The 23,462-nt window shown below is 41.9% G+C and overlaps 1 protein-coding gene across 3 annotated transcripts in view; it reads right to left on the bottom strand.

The window, feature by feature from the left end:
• BRINP2 (BMP/retinoic acid inducible neural specific 2) overlaps positions 1-23,462 on the bottom strand; it is a 111,465-nt gene that overhangs the window by 45,138 nt on the left and 42,865 nt on the right. For all 3 annotated transcript variants that reach the window (XM_005245379.3, NM_021165.4, XM_024448722.2), the window contains one exon: positions 7,140-7,484. In XM_005245379.3, the coding sequence (XP_005245436.1) occupies positions 7,140-7,408 (269 nt within the window). In that variant the 5' untranslated portion in view covers positions 7,409-7,484. The remainder of the gene's footprint in view (positions 1-7,139; positions 7,485-23,462) is intronic.

Here is a 23,462-nt window from a genome sequence, read left to right as displayed (position 1 = left end):
GTCTGTCTTTCGTATTCTGCTATAGTGCCTAGAATAATGCATTGCACGAAGGAGATGCTCCATAAATACTTGAGAGAGGATCAAGTGTGCAAAAGTATGGTGTGGTAACCTTACCCTGAATCCAATTGCTCGAGCATAAATCATGTCAATTTTTATTTGAACCAGTAGTCTAACAGGACCTTAAAGTACTATGTACCATCTCCTCACCAGTTGAGAATTCACGCTTCATTTTTCCAAAGCAGAAATGTAAGAAGTTGCTTTTGGTCCTAATTTCTCTACACATGCAGTGATTTTTACTTCATTTTACTTACCCCTAATGCTAGAAAATGACATGCCTCTTCAGGTGGGAGTTTTTTTTTTTTTTTTAGTTGCACCCTGGAAGAAATCAGTGTCTAAGAGACACTTTTGGCATTTCAGAGAGACAAAGTATGGCATAAATAACCAGTGGGGAAGAACAGGGAAAGGAGAGGCATCACCATGCACTTCTTGACATGGGACTGGCTGCTCAGTTCCTAAACCACATCTAGTGCTCCCATGACTTTGGTTACACTGCTCCTGTATCTACACCACCATTCCACAAGCCTCCACCTGGAGTCTCCAGTCATCCATCGGTTTTTGCCTATGTGTTACCTTTTATTCCAGCTTTCCTTGACCTTTCTGTGCAGAGCAATGTAGCACTTGCTTACTTATCTGTAAGTGCCATCAGATCAAGAACCCTGTCAACCTTGTTTATAGTCTATTATCAGAATCTAGTGCAATAATAAGCACCAAGCTGGCCCTCAAAAATGGGTGTTGAATGAATGACTATGTCTCTATATATGTTCTAGAATTATAGTTGTTTGTTTATGTAAAATTTCTCCTTGCTCCAAGACAGCAGAATGCTTTTTTATTCAGTTATTTGTATGCACATAAGAGGGTTCCATATAGGTCTGCTGCACTGATGTGGTATGATGTTTCTATGCCAGAAGTGGAAATAGAATTCTGCCCAAAGATAAGGACATGCTGGGCTCGTCGTCCAGATACTTCTGGGTTAAAATTCCTTGGGCGGAAGGCCTAAGATGCCTTGTGCTGCGTCTGCTATTTAGGTTAGGTATTTATGTTACAGGACCTGTGTGTTTAGGCAGTACTGGTCTCTTCGCTAAAGCAACCTCTAAACATTTTGTTCTGTCCCTCTCCTACCTTCTCACCCCTGTGGACTGAGAAATAGTGCCTGTAACCAGAACTGCAGGCTCACTGTTGCCATATTGCCTCTAATTTTGCTCTAATTTAAATCACAATACCAGTTTGTATACCGTTCCTTCATCTCCTTCCACGTCAAGAAACTCCCTCATGGTCAAAACGCAAACCCAGTGAAAAGTTCAGAGATCAACCATTTTACTTTGGGCCTGGTGGTTTATGCGGAAGAGCTAACCTCCTTCCTTTTTCCCATCCACCTGAGAACTACAACTTCCCTTCTGGAGCCCTGAAGCCGCGTGATAATGTAGCCTTTCTCTACCTCAGTGGCTGTAATGCACACCTTGGAAATCACTGGGATTTACCCAGGCAGACTGAAGTTGTCTTTGGTTGCTGTTTATTTATATGGACTGTGATCTCTTAATTGGAGATGGTGCCTCTCCCAGGGTTCGCTGTTTATCCAAATCAGTATTTGTTAGTCAGAGAGACGTGGTCCGGATGATAAATCAGCTCTGGAGCTCCTCCTGTGATTGCTTCCACAGCTGCTATCTGCCTCCTCACTTCCCCATCTCCCGGGAGGCACCCACAGGCTGCTTCTAGGCCCTCCAGCCTTTTCTGCTGTTCAACTTTTCTCCCAGCTGCGGTACCTACTCTTATGAGTTCATATGTCTTGGCACTAATAACTCCTAGATTTACCCGCTCTGGATTCCTATTTTATTTTATTTGCAATGCCTCCTGTAAATAGTCTCGCTGCTGCAAATGCCTCATGGGGGATGCTGTCTTTCCAGTACACGTTCTGTGCTTCTCCACCCTCTTCATTTTTGCTCCCGTCTCCATCTCCAAATACTTAGTATAGACAAGTGCAGTACTCCTCAAGCTCTGATGCCATCTTGTTCACCTGGGGATCCTGTTAAAATGCAGATTTTCATTCCTTAGGTCTGGGGAGAGGCCTGACGTTCTGGATTTTTAATAAGCTCTCAGGTGATGCTAATGCTGGGGGTCCAAAGACTGCACTTTGAGCATGCTGTGAGGTTGGTCAGCAAAATTTACAAGGTTGCCAAAAATTGGGTGAGCACTTCCTTCACGTCTAAGCTATTGCCAAGTCTTATTGTTTATCCTGATGAATTCCAGATATTCTTTCTTAGGGTTGTTGCTCTGGTGCCTTGTTTACTGCCTCATTCACCAATCACCTGATTCTATCCCTGGTAGCCCTACAGCTTCTTAGTGTTCAGTTTCATTCTACAAATCTGCATACATATCCCACAATATGATAAGACTATGATGTCCCTTTTAGTCAATAAAGATATGTATTTAATTCTATTTTGTTTTGACTTCTAACATGTGGCTTCTAATGTATCCCCAGACCATCCCTTTCCAAAAAGAGGTAGCTAGAAGTAGATGTGATAATGACTAAGGTCAATATTTTGGAATTCCATTCAGCATTGCTTTCCTCCCAACCACTCATCGTTCTATTTGATTTCCAACTTTCTCTCTCAATGTTAATGTATTCTTTCCGAGTTTTAAGTGTTTCATCATAGTGGCTTGGATTTTGTCCAATCCCATGATTATCTCTCTATTAAAATCTTAATACAAAAAAGAAATAAAAAAAAACAGACTGCTCATTACTTTGATTTGTAGCAAAGAGAGAATGGAACATTACCACTAGATTGTTTCAAGAAACCATATTTACATTTGCATCAGCTCAATTTAGGTGCCTGAGTAGGTGCGTGTTATGATGAAGATGCACTTACCAGTCAAAGGGAGGTGGCATGGTCTAGAGTAATGAGCAGGAGACTTCAAGTCAGGAGCCCTGAGTGCTATTTCTGGCTGTGACTGGCTACCTCTCTGACCTTGAACAAGTGCATTTCACATGCCTTAGACCCTAGTAGCCCATCATAAGGCTGCTGTGAAAAGTTGGTCTCTAAGCGTTTATTGCAGTGGGGGCTATGGAATGGAGCAAGGTATGGGGAGCCCGGAAGTCACACATGGAACTGGAAACAGGACCTCTGTTCTTCTAGCTCTTACCATGAGCCTATTAAGAGATGGATCTGAGAAGGAGGCTAATAGATCAGATCTTGTTTTGACAAGGCTCAAAGACATGCTGAGAGGTTGGTCAATGTTCAATTTACAAGATTGTCAAAAATTGGGTGAAATGCCCAAGCCCATCCTGTTATCTAGGAGGGCTTAACCAGAGTGCATATTGTCTCTGTTCTCTTCATGGTGTATCCTAAGACTATGCTTTTCATCCCTGGAACAAAGGAGCCTGCAGTCACCGGCCACTGGAGGACATGCCTAAGAAAGGCCTGCTCAGTGAGCCATCCTTAACTTTAGACACAAGGGCTTGACCTATGGCAACTTTAACATATGCTGGAAACCATCTTGCTCCCTCTGGTAGCCCACAAGGCCAGTAAGAGTGTGCCCCAGAGAAGATCCAATTATTCTTCAGTTGAGTTCCCCTCCCAGCAAAGAGCTGAATTGAAGGGTAAAGGTTAACGTGCTTTAAAAAGGAAAGCAAGAGAACAGTGTTCCCCCTTCTAATATAGGCTGTCGAATGCTAGACCCTCAGCAGACATTAAAGCAAAAAACACCTATGATTCTTATCTCATTATCCTTCCTGCATAGGCTAATTTTTAGAGAACAACCTAATAAAAATCGGCAGTATTTATTAAGCACTATCCTAAGTGCCTACATCAAATACTTCCTTTAATTTTCACCTTAATCCATTAGATAGGCACTATTACTGTCCCCACTTTACAAATAGGAAAATTGAGGAACAAGAAAACTATGTAATTTGCCCGATATTATACAGGTAGAAAGTTGCAGCTCCAGGATTAGAACCCAGGTCACCTGGCTCCAGGACCTTCACTCTTAAGCACCTATGTCTGTATGAATACAAACTTGTAATGAAGAGAAAAACAATCTCTGGAGGTCCGTGATTAGAGAGGCTGCAGCTATTCTAGAATGACTAGTCATCTCAAAGTTAGAGCATACTCCAACATCCTAATAAGAATAGGTATAATTTGTAGTTTAATGTTAGAAACTTGCTGTACAATTGTTTTGATCTGTTCAACAGGTAGAAGAGAAGGAGGGTCTCTTTCCTATGAAATCTTCAAGTGATTCTGCACCAAATATACTGACCCCCTTGAATCATAGGTTTATTATTCTCTACCACAGTGCATCCGCTTATAAATGGAAGACACATGTGGCTACTATCTGATTTCCATGCCCCAAAAGCTTCCTTAAAGGGTGAAACAAAACCTTAATTCTGTTTGAGACCCAGTATTTCCCCTTCAAAGCATTTCTGATATTCTCTGTTGTTTTTTTTTTTCCTCTTTCTACTCTTCTGGATTATAGGAGAGAAATTTGAGGATGACTGTCGATGTATGTTTTACCAGTTTTCTTTGACCTGCTTTAGTCAATCCAGCAAGGTCCTAAATTTGCCAGAGGAAATTGCCACTAGAAACAAAGTGGGAAGGGACAAAAATGAATTCCCACTGGGATAATGTAGAGCCCTACAAGTGCGCATGAGCCACCATTTTGCTTCATCACTAAAGGCAAAACTCGAGGAATGCTCCTGAAGCAGCGGTGTGTGACTATCCTCTCTCTGCCCCACCAAAAGGTCACAAATCAGAATACTACACTCCTGTCAGAATGACTGGTTACTGTTTCCTCAAGTACAGGTTCATGTGCAATAACTGACCCCAGAGAAACAGAATGGCACAGTGTAAGAGCTTGTCACATTAAATGATCAGAAAACCATTACCAACTGATAGAACAGTTGATGGTGCAGAAATGATTACAGACACTCCCCGTGGGCCAACTTGGAGCTGCCGCCCAGGTGCTAAGTGGCTACCAGGCTGTCCGGAAGAAAACTCTCCTGAGGGGATAAGGAAGCTGAGAGTTTGTTCCCTCTAGTTTCTACAGCTCCTTGAAGTGGAGAGTGGTGTTAGGACTCCCAGCCTGACTTCAATTCCAATACACTTTTTAAAAATTATTTTTGGTGATAACAGTGCTTCTGTGAGATTTGGGATAAACTAAAAAGTCTAAGGTAAATTAAATCTTATTTTACTGGACTGGAGGGATTCTCTGCTTAAGCACATTCTAGAGTGGATTTTCTGATTTTTTTGAAAGATTGAAAAAAATTCTTTAATAAAGGGAAGGTCACCCTGAATTTGCCATCTAGAAAGTGTAGGGAGGCATCTTTGAGATTCTTAGGTGTTTACTGACAGCTGAGTTAACCCTCTACTCTGTTCCTCTTCTACTCATCTGCTTTTACCTGAGCAGGTGTAAACTCAGCCCCTCCCAGCCTGAGTTGGTGCTCTCTGCTTCGGTGATGCTATGTGAATTTCTGCTGTGGCCCTTGGAAGATGGCAAGGGCCAGAGTCACCAAAGCAGGGAGTGTGAACTGCAGTCTCTTCCAGGACCAGACTGCATCTAAGCACAGTGGGAGAAAAATGGCCTGAAAGGAGAGCTGGGTAGGTGATTCCTAAGAGTAGGATTTTGTTTCTATGAATCTCTGGGTCCACAAAGTACCAGCCCCTCAAATATCTCTGACCTTGCTCCTTTGTCTGCACCCAAGTGTGGGAATTTTGAAGCAGGTGAATGGCCTCTATAAATGGCCACTGTTTTACCATTTGGGAATCTTCTGACACTGTACTGAATACTCTTAAAACCATACTTCTGCGACCCCTTACTAATCTAAACTGGTTGCCTCGTTACTGCAGATGTTAAAAAAGAACTCCCAGAAAAAAGAAAATGTCTCTAAATATATTTTCAGAACCCAGACTCTGCAATCTGCCTACTTGCGAGCTAATCCTGGCTCCACTATTCACTAGCTTTGTGCCCTTCAGCAAGTTGCTTAACTTCTTTGGGCCTCAATTTCCCCATCTGTAAAATGGGGAAAACAACTGTTTTTCCAACATAGGGTTGGAGTTACTTTATATAAGGCATGCAAGTTGATAAATCTAACAACAGGTCCAAAAACATTAGTGTGTTCATATGACTAGAAATGCATAGCCAATATGTTAACAACAGGAACCTTTAGTTGCCAAAAGAATGGATGGTTTTGTGTTTCTGTTTCCTTTTGTGCTTTTTCATGTTTTTTCTTTTTGCATGAAAAACTAATTTTAATTAGAAAATAAGTATCTTTGAACAAAGAAACAAAATCAGCAAGGCTCCCAGGGTTATCTAAAGATACAAGTAAGGGGAAAAATGGCAAGGGGGCAAGTGGACAGAGGGATCAAAGAGAATTTTGAGTTCACTGGTGCACTGTGGGAGCCCTGGAGGTGAGCACGTGGAGGAGCACTCTATTTTTGAAGTGCAGGTCCAGCAGCCAGGAATATGTGCCTGGCTTATTCCACCTGATGATGGATTAGGCAGGTCTCAGGAGTCTGACTTTCAGCTCTGATGCTTCTGGGGATGGGCCTAAAGGGCCTAACCCCTTTTTCCCACAAGGCCTGCGGAGCCTGGGGTGTTGACAAGGGTAAGGACAGGTTTGTTCCTGACCCTTCAGGGCTCCCCAGACCTCTAAGGCAGGAGCTGGAGCTGCCCTTCCTTTGTTTGTATGTTTAAGTAATTACAACTCATGAAATTAACTAACCCATTAGTTAAAACCTGGCCCCAGCATTTGACTCTGACCTCCTACGGCAGCCTGGGCCACACGCTGACTCCATGCTGCCTGATTTGTCTTCAACTTATAAGCAGCACAACCTATAAATAGAAACCCTTTTGCTAAGTTCCCCAGGAGGTATCAGCAGGTTTTCCAGCTTGTGTGTGTTTTCTTCTTTCTTTTTTTAAAAACTAACATGGTAGGCTTATTTTCCCTGCCTGGTGTTCCTCCAGCTTTCACCTCTAGCTCAGTTTGAGGGCATTCCAGCCTGTTTAGGGGTTTGGGCCAGCACACCAGCAGGGCCTGTGCAGGTTGGGTTCTTAGGGAAGCCCCTGTCTCAGTGGAGGCCCCCACTTACCTATAAATCCTGTACCTGGTGGTGAAACCCTGGCGGTACCGCTCCATGAAGTCAGCATACTCCTGAGCGCGGTGGAAGGGGCCCCGGTCTGTGAGCAGCCAGTCCAGGGGATGCTGGCCAGCTACGGAGGCATGCTGCTCGGGGACCACAGCAGCCGCCGTGGCTGAGACAGCCAACACCCAGCCAGGCAGGCCCAGTGCCAGCAGGGCTGTCCATGGGGCCACCGCCGGCCGAAGCCCTCTAAACCGAGTGCCACACTGCCACCTCATGCTTCTCCCGGGCGATTGGTTTCTTCATTCTCTCGCCACGCTCTCCCGCTCCGTGCTGCTCCTCCAGGGCTCGGAGCTGGAAAAGTACAAAAGGCATTGTCATTTGAGCACCCTGTTACCCCATGGGCCTGTGAGCATCACACATAATTGGGTTGGGCCCATTCCGGAAATCCTTTATGCTAGTAACATAACTTCGTTCTCGGCATTTAGCTAAGTGCTTGAGGTACATCATTTCATTTAATCCTTAAAACCAACCTGTGAGGAAACACTATTGCCATCATTTCACAGATAAGAAGATGAGGCTTAGAGAGAAACTTAAGAAAGTTGCTTAAGTTCACACAGCTATTAAGTGGTAAAACCAGAGTTTGAACTCAGGGGATCTGACTCTTAACCCTTATGTTATGTTGTGTCCATGCATCCTACCTTGACCCACTCGACACCATCCATTTCTGTCTTCCTCTTCCAAAAATGCTCAATCTGTTTCTGCAGTTGCCTCAGACTGTGGGCTGCCTCTCGAAGTTTGATGTAAGGTGAGAAGCAACCCATTTTTCTGGTGGAGAATTGTGAGGTAGAAAAGTACTGAAGTTCCTTCCGTTGCTGCTGTGAAGCTGAGTGACTGTGGGCAATCACTTCCTTCTCTGGGTTTAATGTATATAGACAGCCTTGAAGAGTTAATTTCTAAGACCTCTTCCAGCCTTGAACATCTGATCTACTCTTTTACTGAAGGTCATGTGGGATGGAGTTGGAATGGGGTACTCAGATATTGCATATAGCGTCATCGGAGTGGATCATGCTCTCAAGGATATCCATAATCCTCTCACCTCACCATGCAGCTTGAGAGCACCACGAGGGGCAGGGCTGAGCAATAACTGCTGTATCTTTCTATACCAGCTCCTGAGAGCAGATCTTCACACACCATTCTTGAAGGAATGAATGAGTGCCTGCCCTGCCCTCTCTGAGTTAGACGGAAGATGCCAAGAAAGTAGTAAGATTCTGGCCTTCAAAATTCCTGGCTGCTTTGTGACTCACCACAGGTCTCTGATTTCCAGTGCCTACTCTTTGGTCTGAGAACAGCGAGTCACCTTTTTAAATCTCTGGGCAAATGCACAGGACCGTTCAGTACTGTGGGGCTTCTTGGAATTGTGATCATTTCCTCAATCTTTAATTCCTAGCACATGCTGTCAGAATCTGCCCATCTCCCCTCGTCAGCACCAATTCGGTGTGTGCCAGAATGACCTCCAACCTCCAGCACCTGTATTTCATGGCTTGAGAACATTCTCTGACTGCCAAAGCCCAGAGACAGGCTCCCTGGGGATGAGGCAAGGAGTGTTAATTCCCTGGCAGTTCCAGACTCTGGTAAGGGCAGACAATGTGGACTTCAGTACTTGATTTATGCCCCCTGCCAGAGTCCCCCAGGGCACTCTGGGCTGGCTCCAGTTCAGAAAACCACCTGACTTCCATCGGATCAGTGTGAATCCCAAAGGGGCTGCACAGAGGCTGGAAACAAACATTAATTCTGGAACTCTCCCAGCCTAAAGGTTGGCCTGAGTCTGAGAGATCCGTGCCTCACCATTCATACAGGATGCTTTCAGAAGAGTTGCAACCCCTGCTTAGAAGGATGGAGGACACAGCTTGAGTGGCTGGACGTTCAGCGTCATTCCTTCACTCCAGCTGGTGGATATTGACCACCTCCCATGTGCTGGACAGCTCTTAGAAGTTACCATAGTTCTCACAGAAAGTTTGTTAAATAGCCATTATTAGTATATTTTATTGAGACCCAGAATAGTGGAGCTAAGAGACTGCAGAAGTGGAATACGAGCCTAGGTCTGGCTCCATGACCAGACCTTGATAAAGAATGTAGTACAGCCTAAGGAACTAGAGCAGGCGGTAAGACAGAACCTCGCTTAATGAACTAGAGGTGGGGGCTGAAAGAAGAAAGAATAATGAGGCAGCTCCTGCCCTACCAGATCTTCAAACATGATAAAATTCCAATAATTAAAACAGATGATACTGGCACACAAATTGGACAGCAGATCAATGCAATAGAATAGATAGCTCAGAAATAAACCTTTTTATATATTAGAACTTAGTATATGAAAAAAAGCATCAGACACTAATTGCATGGAGGATGGAATATTTTATACCTAATATTGGAAAATTAGTTCCAGTTGGAATAAAAAGTTAAATATAAAAAATAAAATCATAGAAAGAAGGAAAATCCTCAAATGTTTTATAATAAGCATGCATTACCATGAAAAAAAAAAAACTCTTTTGAAACTAAAAAGAGGAATCGGCTTTGTACATAGAGGGTGTAGGCATTTTTAAATGGATGCAATCTGATGAGGATGCCCAAAATATTTCTCATGTAATCATTCACATATTCATTTATTGAAGAAACATAAATTGAGGGCTCCTAAGTGCCAGACACTCTGCTAAGCATTGACAATACAAAAGCAAGTGCTCATTACATTACCTGAAATTCTAACATTAGCAATTAATTCCTTTTATAAAATATTGTTCTATTTTGTTTAAAGGCATAATGACAAAAGGGATGGGGAAATGTTCATTTCGAAGACTGCAGCTACCTGATACTGGAGGCCAAGGCAGCCAACACAGCAAGGTGGAAATGCGTGGATGCGGGTGGGAAGACACTGGAACACAGAATTCCCAAATGACCAAGATCCCCACACCCTTCTGTGCATGCCCTATATGGTCCCCTCCCCTTGAGTATGGGCAGGACCTGTGAGTATGATGGGATGTCACTCCCATGATCTGGTTGCTAATCAGTTGAATTTGAGTTACGATTCAATGACTGCAGAGTGCATTGAAAGTCCAGATGGCAGATATTTTAGATCATGGTGGTGGCAGTGAGGACAAAGGTTTCTGAATAACCTTGAGCAATACCCGGGGTGGAACTGACCTACTCAGGTGAGCCTTTAGAAGACAGTGAAGCGTCAAGCTTCTGCTGGCCTGGGGAGTAGCAAACAGCCATATGGTGAACTGCTTATGGGGGCCACATGGCTATGAATTATAGATGGGCTCTGGAATCTGAGAGCAATTGCTAGCCAACAGCTAGCAAGAAAATGGGAACCTCAGTCATATGACCTTAAGAAAACAAATTCTGCCAGTAACCATGTGACACTGAAAGAGGATCCAGAGCCTTGGATAAGGACTGCTTCCCTGTCTAGCACCTGGATTTCAGTCTGGTGACACCCTGAGCAGAGGACCCAGTTAACCTGTACCCATGCTCCTGACCCACAGAGACTGAGATAATGCTTTTGTATTGTTTTATGCCATTAAGTTTGTGGTAATTTGTTGCACAGCAATAGAAAAATAATGCAGACACATAAAAGATAACTGTAGGCTCTCCCATTCTGCAAAAGGCCTGGCCTAGTTGGGGTTCTTCATGCTCCCTGAAGACCAGCTGTTATTGTCTGCATGAGAAGAAGCCAGTGTGGCAATTTCTTGAGCAGAATGGGACTGATAATCTTCCCTAACTCAGCTGAGTCACATCACACCCTGCCTGCCTAGTTTATGGACCCCTTAAGGTCAGAGACCATAAGTGGTTTTCAAAAATATTTGATGAATCAATTCCATGCATTTCATTGTGGGGTCATTGTGAGCTACTGAAAACATGTGTCCTTGGCCCAGCTACTTCACCCCTTGGTGCACTGATCTCCTGTGTTGCAATATGGTGGTGTAGTCACCCCCTCACCTAGCAGGAGAAGGTTTCTAAGGACAGGTGAGAGCACACATGTGAAAAACCTGTGTGCTCTTTGAGAGAAGAAAGATATATTAAGTCAACGGGTGCTTCTTGTTATTCTTTGTTTGTAATTATGCTTTTTCAGAACTCACAATGTGCTAGAACCTGCCTGGTTATAGGAGTATCAGCTTTAGAATCAAACAGTTCTGATTGCTGGGCCAAGTCTGCTGAGCACAGCAAGAATGCCTGAATTCAGTGCCGACTGCTCCTCTCAAAAACCTGGCCTTGGAATCATATGGTTTCCGCTTCACTGATTTTTCTCAGTATCTGAAGACATTTTGACTAAGAAATCTCTTTTTAAGAAAGAGAAGTTTTAAACAGGTTTCAAAACTTTCTTTTAAAAACATCCCTAGAACATGTTCCTTTACCTTTTAAAAATGGACAAAATAGTTGCTGCATTGACAGTTGTGTTACAATCAGGCTTTTTAAGGGGAACAGCTTTTGGCCATTTCCTGTTTATGCTCCACAAATAATATCACTAGAAATTTTGCTGCAGCAACCTGTCAAGCAAATTTTAACTGTCTAAATCCTCACAACTTCTGGTGGAACTGCTAATAAGCAGCAAAATAAAATAGTTAGTACCTTCCCCATCGTGCTTCAGTTTTTCCTTCTTGTCCTGAAGCTGACTGCATAAGTAAGCCTCCATGTTATATGCTAGGATATTAAAGTAATGGCTAAGTGAGTTCCTTTATGAAAAGAATTATAAATTTACTAGTGAAAGCCAAATCATTTCACTTACTTAGACCACACTTAAGACGGTTTTACATCTAAAGAAATAATAAATTAGCTTTGCACAAAACGTAAAGGTAAACCAAGTCATGGGTTTTCCTTTGTTAACTGCATCAGCTCAAATCTGTTCTTTAAGCCATGGAGTAAATGGGTCACAGCTTTGTCAATGGAAAAAATCATATATAGATGAAGTCACATGAGAAGTAAGCAGTGCAGTCTTCAAATGGTAGAGCTTATAGGAATCGTGTCTCTACCACTCTCAGATTATTACCCAGCTGAGGACTTCTTGGGAATTTTTTTGCATCCTCCTGTTGTTTTTAATATCCATTTATGCTAGGCATGTCAAAAGACGACACACTCAGGATTTGAGGCATTAGCTGCTGGTGTACCAGATCTTGGCAATTGAGATAGATATTTCTTCATTGAAAATTATTGCCAAGGAGGGGTTATATCTTGGGGAGTTAAGGATATGGCTAAGCTATGGTTATAGGCCTGGAGAAAAGGTAAAATAGGTATGAGAGTAATATTGTAGGTAACAAGGTTGTTAATGTTAATTATCATTAATAAATACCAATATAAGTCATTTCATATTTGTGAGGTAGTTACTGCTTATGAAGCACAAACAATAAAATCACTCTTTTTAACAGATGAGAATGCAGAAGGCAGAAATGGATAATTAAATTGCATGAGGTCACAGATTTCAGTGGTAGATTGAGGTCTACCTATCCTAGATCCCATAGTATTTATACCTCACAGCATCAGTTATATGAATTACAGCTATTAAAAAAAAAAAAAGGAGCCTTTGCCACTTACAAGTTGGCTCCCTCAGGCAAGTCACTTCCCTCTGGGACCTTCACTGTATCATCGGTTAAATGATTTATGAGGTCAGGTGATCCCACCTGCTGCTGATATTCCATAATTCTATGCAAATATAAGGGGCACATATGTAAGGGGAGAGGCATTATGATTTTAGTCTTCTTTGGAAGGAAGCTCTGTTTTTCAGAAAGGGACTGAAACATAAAAGAAGCAGGGTATAAAGCAGGAATTTTTGCCTGCTGGAGCAGTGACATTTCATAAAGTGATTGGGCAGTGACATTAAATAAGTTTTCAAGCCATATAAGTGGTTAATTGGCCAACTCTGTTGAGGAGATGTTTTCTTGAATAAATCTGAGGGTGTCAGTTGTTAAAAAAAAAATCACAGAAATTGTTATTTGTTCTTGTCATCCGCAATATCTTGATGCAAAACCTCCTGTTTTTACAAGAAAGGGAGGGTAGATAGGAGAGATGACAGGACATTCTTAAGAGCAAGGGTGGATGTGGGGGTGCTATCAGCTCAGATCTGTGGCTTTTATTCTTCCCTCTTGTTGCAATAAGCTGTCAACTTCAACAGAGACTAACCATGGTGCTTTTGCCTTGACGATGTGCTCCTGGTTTCATTTTGTAGAGCCTCATCAGGTCCCATAATTCTTCCATTTGAACCTGAGCAGGGGTGACACATTTTGTCACTGCCCTCCCCAGGCTCCAGGATTCGACCTTCAGTGTCACCCTCAGGACTGGCATGGAACTGGCAAGCAATAGGTGATGCATTTCCCCACTGCTGGTCAGGAATGACTTAAAATCAGTGAGGGTATAGATATCCTCACTGTATAGAATCAGGTTAATAATATTAATAATTATGCAATGGTAAGAGCTAATCATAATTACTGTTTACTAAATATTCTTACATTAATTTAAGAACTTTAACAGAGGAGGCCAAGAGAGCCAAAGAGACCCTCTGGAGATCACTCCACAATAAAACAGAAGTGAAACTCGCATATTCTGACTCTGAGACCTATAACTCAGCTCTCCTTAACCTCACTTGCCTCTGTTCATCAAACAGTCAATCAGTTATTAAGTAATGTCTATGCACAAGGACTGTCCCAAGGGATGGGAGTAAATCTCATGAACAAGACGGACCCAGCCTTTGCTTTCATAGGGCAGGAACAAAACATAGGACTTAGGATCCTGTAATGAGCTTAAAAGGTACACAGACACAAAAACACACAGCACTCACACACATGTACAGCTTTAGTGACATTAGACCTAGTAGGATCCCTCCTCTGAGGCCCCAAATTTATAGGTCTCTCTGTGTGATAACCAGCCCTTCACTTAACAAGGGCAGATTCATCTGTCAGTTGCTGAGGCTTCATACTTGCCTGCCGGGTGTCCTTGGTGCTTTCCTTGGTGAGACAAACTAACTGACAGGCTTGCCCAGAGCCCTGAGCGATAAAGCCAGGGGCCGAATGTGCAGACCAGGGAGACCCTTCTACTCCGGAGCCTCCCTTCCAGTCAGGGGGATCACTAGCAAATAGAAAGATGGCACTGCTGATCAAATAGTACTTCTAAATAAAAAGTCGCTCATCCCAAAGCCTTTACAACTTCATCTCCTTGCAGATCAACCTTCCTCAAAACCATTTCCATCCTCCTCCATCATTAAGAAACCCCAGCCACTCCTTGCGGCCCTGAGAACCAATCTGCCTTCCACTTCCAGTCACTGAGCTCCCCTGATCGGCTGTTCCAAAGTGGAGTGGTTTTGAGAACAGACTGCAGAACCTGGCTGCCTGCCTTCCTTGGTTGGTTCCAACACTTTTGCCTCAGGTTCCTCATCTGTTTTTTTGTTTGTTTTTTTCTTTTTCTTTTTTTTTTTTTAAGATAACAATAATAGTGCTACTCCATAGGATTGTGAGGATTAAAAGAGTTAATATTTGTAAAGCCTTTAAAAGGTGTCTGGCCTGACCGGCCACAGTGGCTCACGCCTGTAATCCCAGCACCTTGGGAGGTTGAGGTGGGTGGATCACCTGAGGCCAGGAGTTTGAGACCAGCCTGGCCAACCTGGTGAAACCCTGTCTCTTCTAAAAATATAAAAATTAGCTGGGCATGATGGCAGGTGCCTGTAATCCTAGCCACTCGGGAGGCTGAGGCAGGAGGATCACTTGAACCTGAGAGGTGGAGGTTGCAGTGAGCCCAGATCGTGCCATTGCACTCCAGCCTGGGCAATAGAGTGAGACGCCATCTCGAAAAGAAAAGAAAAAGAAAAAAAGGTGTCTGGCCCATGGTGAGTGCTGTGTGTTCACCATTATTTTTTCCATTGCTCCAACAGGGGTTATTAGCACTAAAAAGAGTCCAAAAACAGTTCATAGACTCATCCAATCTTAGTTTTTGTTTGTTTGTTTTGTTGTTGTTTACAGGTGAGAAAACTGAAGCTTAAAAAGGTAAGATTTCTGTTAAAAGGCGTTTCCTCATTTTAGCCTTTTAGAGGTTTCTCCAGGTCACTCTGAATAACCTCACCAGTCCCCCATCCCTAGTCCTCTGCAGCTGATGACTGTAGTGATGGGTTCAACCCAGGGCCCTTTCACCTTCATCCTGTGGTCACTTGATTCCCCAGTTGTCTGGCTATGAGCCCTGCCATTGTACTCACTCCTGCCTTTCCTCTCTGTGAGTCTACTGTGGTCTCTCACATCTTTTAGCCTCATTTTCTCCAAGAAGCCTTTCAAAGCTCTGTGCATTGATTATGCGGTTGCTTTGGCTTCCTACAGCCTCTGTTCCCTGGTTAATTTCCACCTGATCGTGTCCTGGAACTGGGGAGAAGGGATGGGATCCTGGAGATTACCTGACCCAGTGGTTCTCAGCAGCCTGGAGCACATGTGGTAGTGTGTGTATGTGGGGAAGGTAGGGAGTGGAATGGAAATAGGGAAGGGAGGAAAGAGGGAAATAACTGAGATATGGGGCTGGGGTATATTTTTATAATTTTGAATATTTTTTAAAAACCTCCCAGGAGATTTTGATGCAACATTCTGATGGGATCCAGTGATAAAATTCATGTCACATTGTATCATAAGTGAGAAAACTTTCAGTCACAGAAGTGCAATACGTTATTTAAAGACCCACCACTGGTTTGGGGAAAAGTGAGGACTTGAACTTGGGTCTCTTAACACTAAGCCTAGAGCTTGTCTGTCTCCGTTTTATGTGTGTCAATGGTAAAATTTTCAAAATTCAAAACCCATGAGTCCCAGAGTTGCCATTATAATCACCTCTAATTATGTTTACATATTAGTTACTGTGTACCAAACATCAATCTAAACACTTTCCATGCGTTATTTACTATGCACAAACCCCTGTAAGGTTGATGCTGTTATTATGCCCATTGTACAGAGAAGAAAACTCAGGAACAGAGAAGCCAATAATGTTCTCCCAAGGGGAGTCCTTAATACTATTTACATGACCTATAAATCTAACAGCTACAGACTTGAATAAGATAGCTGTATTCACATGAGGTTATCCTAGATTCCTCTGGGTCATTTTCATTTTAAAAATTGCAAGATTGAAGAAAAGTCTAAAATCTTAAAGTACACAAGCAGGATTCACCTACAATCACTTTTCCAGCTTAGATAAGCATGCTGCTTTTTTGGAAGCTGTGTGGCTCCTGTTTAGATGGCCTGTCAGCATGGCCTCATAAGAACCCAGTGGTATTTCACCTGTGCTGTCTCAAAAACCACAGGTTAGGCGTACTCCTCCACCATGGGCCAATCCACAACTCCTGGTTTCTTGCATGCCCTTGAGTTACAGTGCTCTTCCCTCATATCCCCAAACCCAACTGAGCCTGTGCCCAGATTCCTCATCCCCTTCCTTTCTGCCCAGTCTCCGCATGTCCATCTAAGGTGTAAGAGGCTTGTACCCTGCATTAGGCCGTTATTGCATTGCTACAAAGAAACACCCAAGACTGGGTAATTGATTAAAGAAAAGGGTTTGATTGGCTCATGGTTCCAGAGGCTTTAGAGGAAGTGTGGTGCTCCCATCTGCTCTACTTCTAGAGAGGCCTCAGAAAACTTATAATCATGGCAGAAGGTGAAGGGGGTACAGGCACATCACATGGCAAAAGCAGGAGCAAGAGAGAGAGAGAGAGGTGGGGGAGGTACTGCACACTTTGAAACCACAGATAGGCGTGAACTCAGAGTGAGAGCTCACTTATCACCAAAGGAATGACCCAAGCCATTCATGAGGGATCTGCCCCTATGATCCAAATACCTCCCACCACACCCTACCTACAATGGGGATTTCAACATGAGATTTGGGTGGGAACAAATATCCAAATTACACCACACCCTTTTTGGCTTCTGTGCCTCCTGCTCTCCACTCCCCCATTTCCTGCTGTAGATAGATAGGCCCCCAGGAATTTCCTGCCCTTTTACCTGCTTCTGGACTGCACCCTCTCTTAGAGTTCCTCTTTATATATTCTAGCCATTGGACCTCCTGTTACCAAGATTGCCTGAATCAAACCATTTGGCCCTGCCCCTGGGCATGGCCTGCCCATCTCCCTGGATCTAGCTACTGAAGCTGGCTTAGTCATCTACTTCAATCCCTTGTTGACAGCTGCTTTCGTACTCCAGAGAGAGACCCTTCTCTGTCCCTGCCTCCTCCCAGCAGACTGGCTTCTGTTGCTTAAGCCCCAGCTCACTTCCCAGCTGAGTCTCTGTATATACATAGGGTGGTTTAAGGCCCGGGAAGCCAAAATAAACCCAAGCCAATCACAGAGAAATTGCTCATAACTATGTAGGCTGAAAAATTGAGGTGGGGCTGATAAGCAACTCTCCATTATGACCTGCAGCCCTCAATGTTACTCTTGCTCTTGGCTTTCTGCCAGGCCTGTCATTGAATCTGAACTTTTAGCCCAAGCTCTGCCCTATTTGGACCTTGGCACAAACCAGAATGTAAAATGATAATGCCCTGAGCTGTGCTAAACAGCACAGAGCTCCTGAGATGTTACAGATGCAGCTGTGACCAGCAATCACATTGTTTCCAGGATTGTGTTTGTAAATATATGAGTTGCCTGACAGCTTGTGGAATTAAATATAGATGCTACATCACAAACTCTAGCTAAAATAAACTATATGCCGCTCAATGAATGTCAATAAGTACACAGAGAAAGAATCATTGTACCTTTTTGTAGCATAGTCCAAGACACCCACCACTAAGTGCTTTGTTTGTTTGATAAAGGGCTCTCTCTTTAGGCCCCCATAGGCTTTTGACTGGTATTAGTGGAAAGCTAGGGGGATAGCAGAAGTAAGGAGACAACGGGGTGCAATCAATAAAGCTGCTGCATTGAGGAAATGATGTGTGGTGGCAGGAGCTAGCTTGGAAGTTCCACAAGTAGACTGGAATATCATAATTAACCTTTTGGAATTGCTGACCACAAAGCATCATTTCTAAAAGTATGGTCCAAGGCTCACTGGCAGTTTGCAAGGGACTACTGATGGGGAGCAAGCTGTTCTATCACTGCAAGCTCTCTCTTCAGTTATTAAGCCAAATAACTCTCCTTCCTTTAGATTGATTTTTACAGACAACCAAAGCTTATATATTAGCAATCTATTTAATAATAGATTAGATAGTGGCAAGAATAGAATAGATAATGGCAAGTTGAAGTGACATCAGCAAGATGGTGGAAGAAGGGGTCCCAGGCTTCACTCCTCCCAGAGAAACATCAACTATCCAGTCAAAAACACCTTGGTGAAAATGTGGGAATAAGCCTGAGTCACCTGTGTATTCCATGGAACTGAATCAAACTCCACATGGAAGGGGTAAGAGAAATGGTTTTGCTTTGACCACGTTGCCCTTCCTCTCTCCCCTAAGTCAGCACAGTGCCACACAGAGGAAATTCCCTAGGGCCCATGGTTTCTACAGCGGGAAAGCAAATATCCAACTTTCCCAGCATTTTGAGGTGCTTCCCAGGCAACTCACCCCATTCTCACCTCATTGGAAATGGGGAATGGAGGAGAAAACCACATGACTAGACTATCTGGGGTCAGGTAAAAACAAAGTCAGGAGGTGGAGCCCACAGAGAACAGTAAAATAAATTGTCAAGTGAAACATATTAAAAAATTATGCAAATTTAGACATCACAGATTTTGGTAAAAGCTCAGTGCACCTGCCACTAGTCGTGCTCAATCAGAGGTATCTGTGGGTGTGTAGCTCACCCACAGAGCTGAGCTGGTCACTCCCAGAAGAGGTGGGAAGGGTTACATGGCTTGAGTCTCTAGATGGCCAGCCTCAGACCCTACCCTAGGGTCCTGCCTAGGTAAGAGAAGACCCCCTGCAGCAAATTTCCACAACAAGCAGGCACTAGATCTGCTACAGTCAGGAGCTTAATCTACACTCCCTGTAGCCTTAAAGCTTACCCCTAGACTCTGCCCAAGGAGACTGCTGATCACTGTAGCAAATACTGACAAAAAGCAGGCACTAGTTCTGCCACACCTGGGAGTTTAATCAGTTCTTCTCTTGGCCTCAAAGCCCATCCCCACACCTCACCCATGGAGGAAGGCAAATCTCAGTCATGCATTTCTACTGACCATAGCAGTTAGTCCATTCATCCCAACCTACTTAACTTTGGGGCCTCTTCTGCAACCTTGGTCAACTCCTGAACTCAAATAGCAGTACCTGGCCAGGGAATTACACCCTGTGGCCCTGCCAGACAAGATGTGATTGCAGCATCCATATGGCAGCTCAGCCTAGTAGTAGAGCTCAGCCAGTGATCTTGCCAAACAGCAAAGCCTAGTCAGCTGCCCCACACAAATTCCAGGTAAAAGCAGTAGCCCAGCCATCTAGAGAACTTAAAAGCAAGCCTGCCTTTCCAGGATCATTACTCATCCAGAATGACCCATCCAGAATCATAGGGGTAGATTAACTAGTGAATTTCTATCCCTGCCAAAAAAACAAACTTGTAAAAGCCAGAAAAGTTGTCTGTCTCCACAAATGCATAAACACCGATACAAGGATACAAGGATTATAAAGACTCATAACACCTCCAAAAGAAAGTGACAAAGCTCTAACAATAGACTCTTAGGACAAAGATATCGATAAAAGGACAGAAAAAAAAATTCAGAATAATCCTCTTAAAAATGTTTAGTAAACTTCAAGAAGATACAGATTAAACATTAAATAAAATCTCGAAGATAATACACAAACAGGAGAAGTTTGACAAAGAAATAGAAACTTTTTTTTTAAATGGAGATTTTTAAAATGAAGATTACAGTGACTGAACTGAAAAATGCAATAGAAAGCTTCAACAGCTGACTTTATCAAGCTGAGAAATCAGTAAACATGAAGACAGAAAATTTGAAATTACCCAATCAGAGGAGTAAATAATAATAATAAAGAATGAAGAACATCTATGGGAATAATGGGACATCATCAAACAAGAAACCTAACCTATGCATCATAGGCATTCCAGGAGGAAAGAAAGAAAGAAAGAAAAAGGCCATAAAACATATTTAAAGAAATAATGGATGAAAACGTCTCTAATCAAGAAAAGAAGCCAACACCTAGGTATACAAAATGTGGAGGTCAGCAATAAAACTCTAACCAAAAAAGAATTCACCAAGACATTTAATAATCAAATTATCAAAAATTAAATACAAAGAACAAATTCTGAGAGCAGCAAGAGATAAGAAATACATCACATACAAAGGAGTCCCAATAAAACTATCAGCAAACTTCTCAGCAGAAACACCGCGGGCCAGGAGAGAATTGGATGATATATTCAAAGTGGTGAAGTGAAAAAAAAAAAAAAAAACTACCAACCAAGAATACTTCACTCAGAAAATCTGTCTTTCAGAAATGAGGGAGAAATAAAAACTTTCCCAGACAAACAAAAGTTAAATAAGTTTATCATCACTAGGCCTGCTTGCAGGAATTGCAAAAGAGAGTTCTTTTAACTGAAACTAAAAGATGCTAATTATTAACATAAAATTTATGAAAGTACAAAACCTAATAGTATAAGTTTTATGTAGCAAAATGTGGAATAGCCTAGGACTGTGATAGTAGTATGCAAAGTAATTTTATCCCTAGTACAAGCATTAAAGGATGAAATTGTTAATAACAACAGTTACTGAAATAAATTGTCAAGTAAAACATATTTAAAAAAGATACAATTCAGACATCAAAAACATAAAATACTGGAATGGGGGAGAACTGGAGAGTTATTGTATGCAATCAAAGCTAAACTGTTAGCCTCAAATAAACTATTATAAGTGTAACATGTTCTATGTAAGCCTCATGGCAACCAAAAATCAAAAATCTATAGGAGATGCACAAAACAAAAGAAAACAAAATACATACCCTACGGAAAACCATCAAACTACAAAGACAGAAATGGAGGAAGAAAGAAAATATCCACAAAACAACCAGAAAACAATTAACAAAATGGCAATAGTAAGTTTTTACCTATTAATAATTACCTTGAAAATAAATGAATTAAATTCTCCAATCAAAAGACATAGAGTGAATTTATAGATAAAAATCCAAGGTCCAAGTATATGCTGTACATAAGAGATTCACTTCTCCTTAAGGACACACACATACTAAAAATGAAAGAATAAAAAAAAGATATTCTTTGCAATTGGACAGAAGGGGCAGTGATACTTAGACAAAATAAACTTTAAGTAAAAAACTGTAAAAGGAGACAAAAAAGGACATTATATAATCAATTCATTAAGAGGATATAACAATTGTAAATTCATATGACCCCACAGTGGAGCCACTAAATATGTAAAGCAAAATTGAAACTCTTCCCTCTAAATTCTGGAACAAGTCAAGGATGCCCACTCTTGCCAGGTCTATTCATCATGGTTTTGGAATTCCTTATTACACCAATAAGGGAAGAGAAATATGTAAAAGGCATAAACATTTTAAAAAAAGAAAAAGTGAAATTGTCACTGTTTGCTAATGATATGATTATCTATATAGAAAACCCAAAATAATCTACAACAAGATGTTAGAATTGATGAACAAATTCAGTGAAGTTTCAGGACACAAATCAACATGCAAAAATCAGTAATGTATCTCTACACTAACAACAGAATTTCTAAAAAAGGAATCAAGAGAACAATCTCATTTACAATGGCTATAAAAAAATTAGGAGTAAATTTAATCAATGAAGTGAACTCAGATAAATAAGAGATAGCCCATGTTCATGAATTAAAAGAATAAATGTTGTGAAAATGTCCATACTACTCAAAGCAACATATGAATTCAGTAAAATTTCTATCAGAATCCCAATGTCATTTTTCATAGATATAGAAAAAACAATGGAATATGATTGAGCCTTAAAAAGGGAAGAGATTCTCTCATTTGTGACAACACAAATGGAATTGAAGAACAATATGCTAAGTGACATAGACCAAATACAGAAAGACAAATACTGCATATTCTCAACTAACTATGGAATCTAAAACAATTGAACTCATAGAAGCAGAGTGTAGAATGGAAGTTACCAGAGGCTGAAGACTGGGGAGACTGGGGAGATGATAGTCCAAGTGTACAAAGCCTCAGATAGAAGAAATAAGTTTGATTTTTTTTGATCTATTGCACAGTGTGCTAAATATAGCTAATAATTGAGTACTATACATTTCAATATTACTAAGAGAGTAAATCTCAAGTATTCTGATCACAAAAATGTCAAATATTTGAGGTTATGGACAGGTTAATTAGCTTGATTTAATCATTCCACCTTGTATTCAAAAATCATAGCATCACTTTTTGCCCCATAAATATATACAGCTATATTTTGTCAATAAGTAATTTTTAAAATCCTAAAAAATAATGAAAAGTTGGTATTCATACACTAAAATCAGCCCCATGTAAGAGTTTGCTGATGATTCTCATTTAGCCTTCAACCAAAGTTTGTTGCCATGTAATCCTGGTCACTGATGCAAAACTCCCATCATACTGCCTAAATCACGGAAATCCCCACTCCTGGTGTTGGTGCCAAATGAAGGGTACTTGGCATTCAGGAAAACTTCAATGTTGTCCTAAGGGTTAAGGTTTTACTTGTGTTCATCATTTGGAATTTATTGCAACTGCTATGTTGTTTCCAATTTTATTTATTTGTTTGTTGTATTCCTCTTTAACTTTTTTTTTCCAAGATGGAATTTCGCTCTTATGCTCAGGCTGGAATGCAGTGGTGCGATCTCGGCTCACTGCAACCTCCGCCTCCCAGGTTCAAGTGATTCTCCTGCCTTGGCCTCCCGAGTAGCTGGGATTACAGGCTCCGGCCACCAGGCCCGGCTAATTTTTGTATTTTTAGCAGAGATGGGGGTTTCACCATGTCAGACAGGCTGGTCTCGAACTCCTAACCTCAGATGATCCACCCACCTCGGCCTCCCAAAGTGCTGGGATTACAGGCATGAGCTACCGCACCCGGCCTTTAATTCTTTAACATCAAGTTTTTTCTCCATTAGAAAGTGAGACTGTAGACTTAGACTGAAGCAATTTGGACACTGTTTGAAGGTCCTTGTGCAAAATTAAGAGCCCCCCCATAGAAGAACTTGAGTAATTCTAAAGAAACCTGACTTAATTTTGGCTCAGACTGCTGCTGACTTCCTAAACTATTCTTGACAAATGAAACCTTTTGTAAAATGTGGTAATAATTTTCCCATTTCTTTCCTTTTAAGAAAGTTAAAAAAATATCTACTCATTCATCCAATTAATGTTTATTAGACAAAGAACATTCCATTTAGCTAGGACATAAAA

Source organism: Homo sapiens, chromosome 1 (assembly GCF_000001405.40).
Source record: "Homo sapiens chromosome 1, GRCh38.p14 Primary Assembly".
Taxonomy (NCBI): domain Eukaryota; kingdom Metazoa; phylum Chordata; class Mammalia; order Primates; family Hominidae; genus Homo; species Homo sapiens.
The sequence above is the reverse complement of the archived record's forward strand: the minus strand, read 5'-3'. Positions and strand labels throughout refer to the sequence as shown.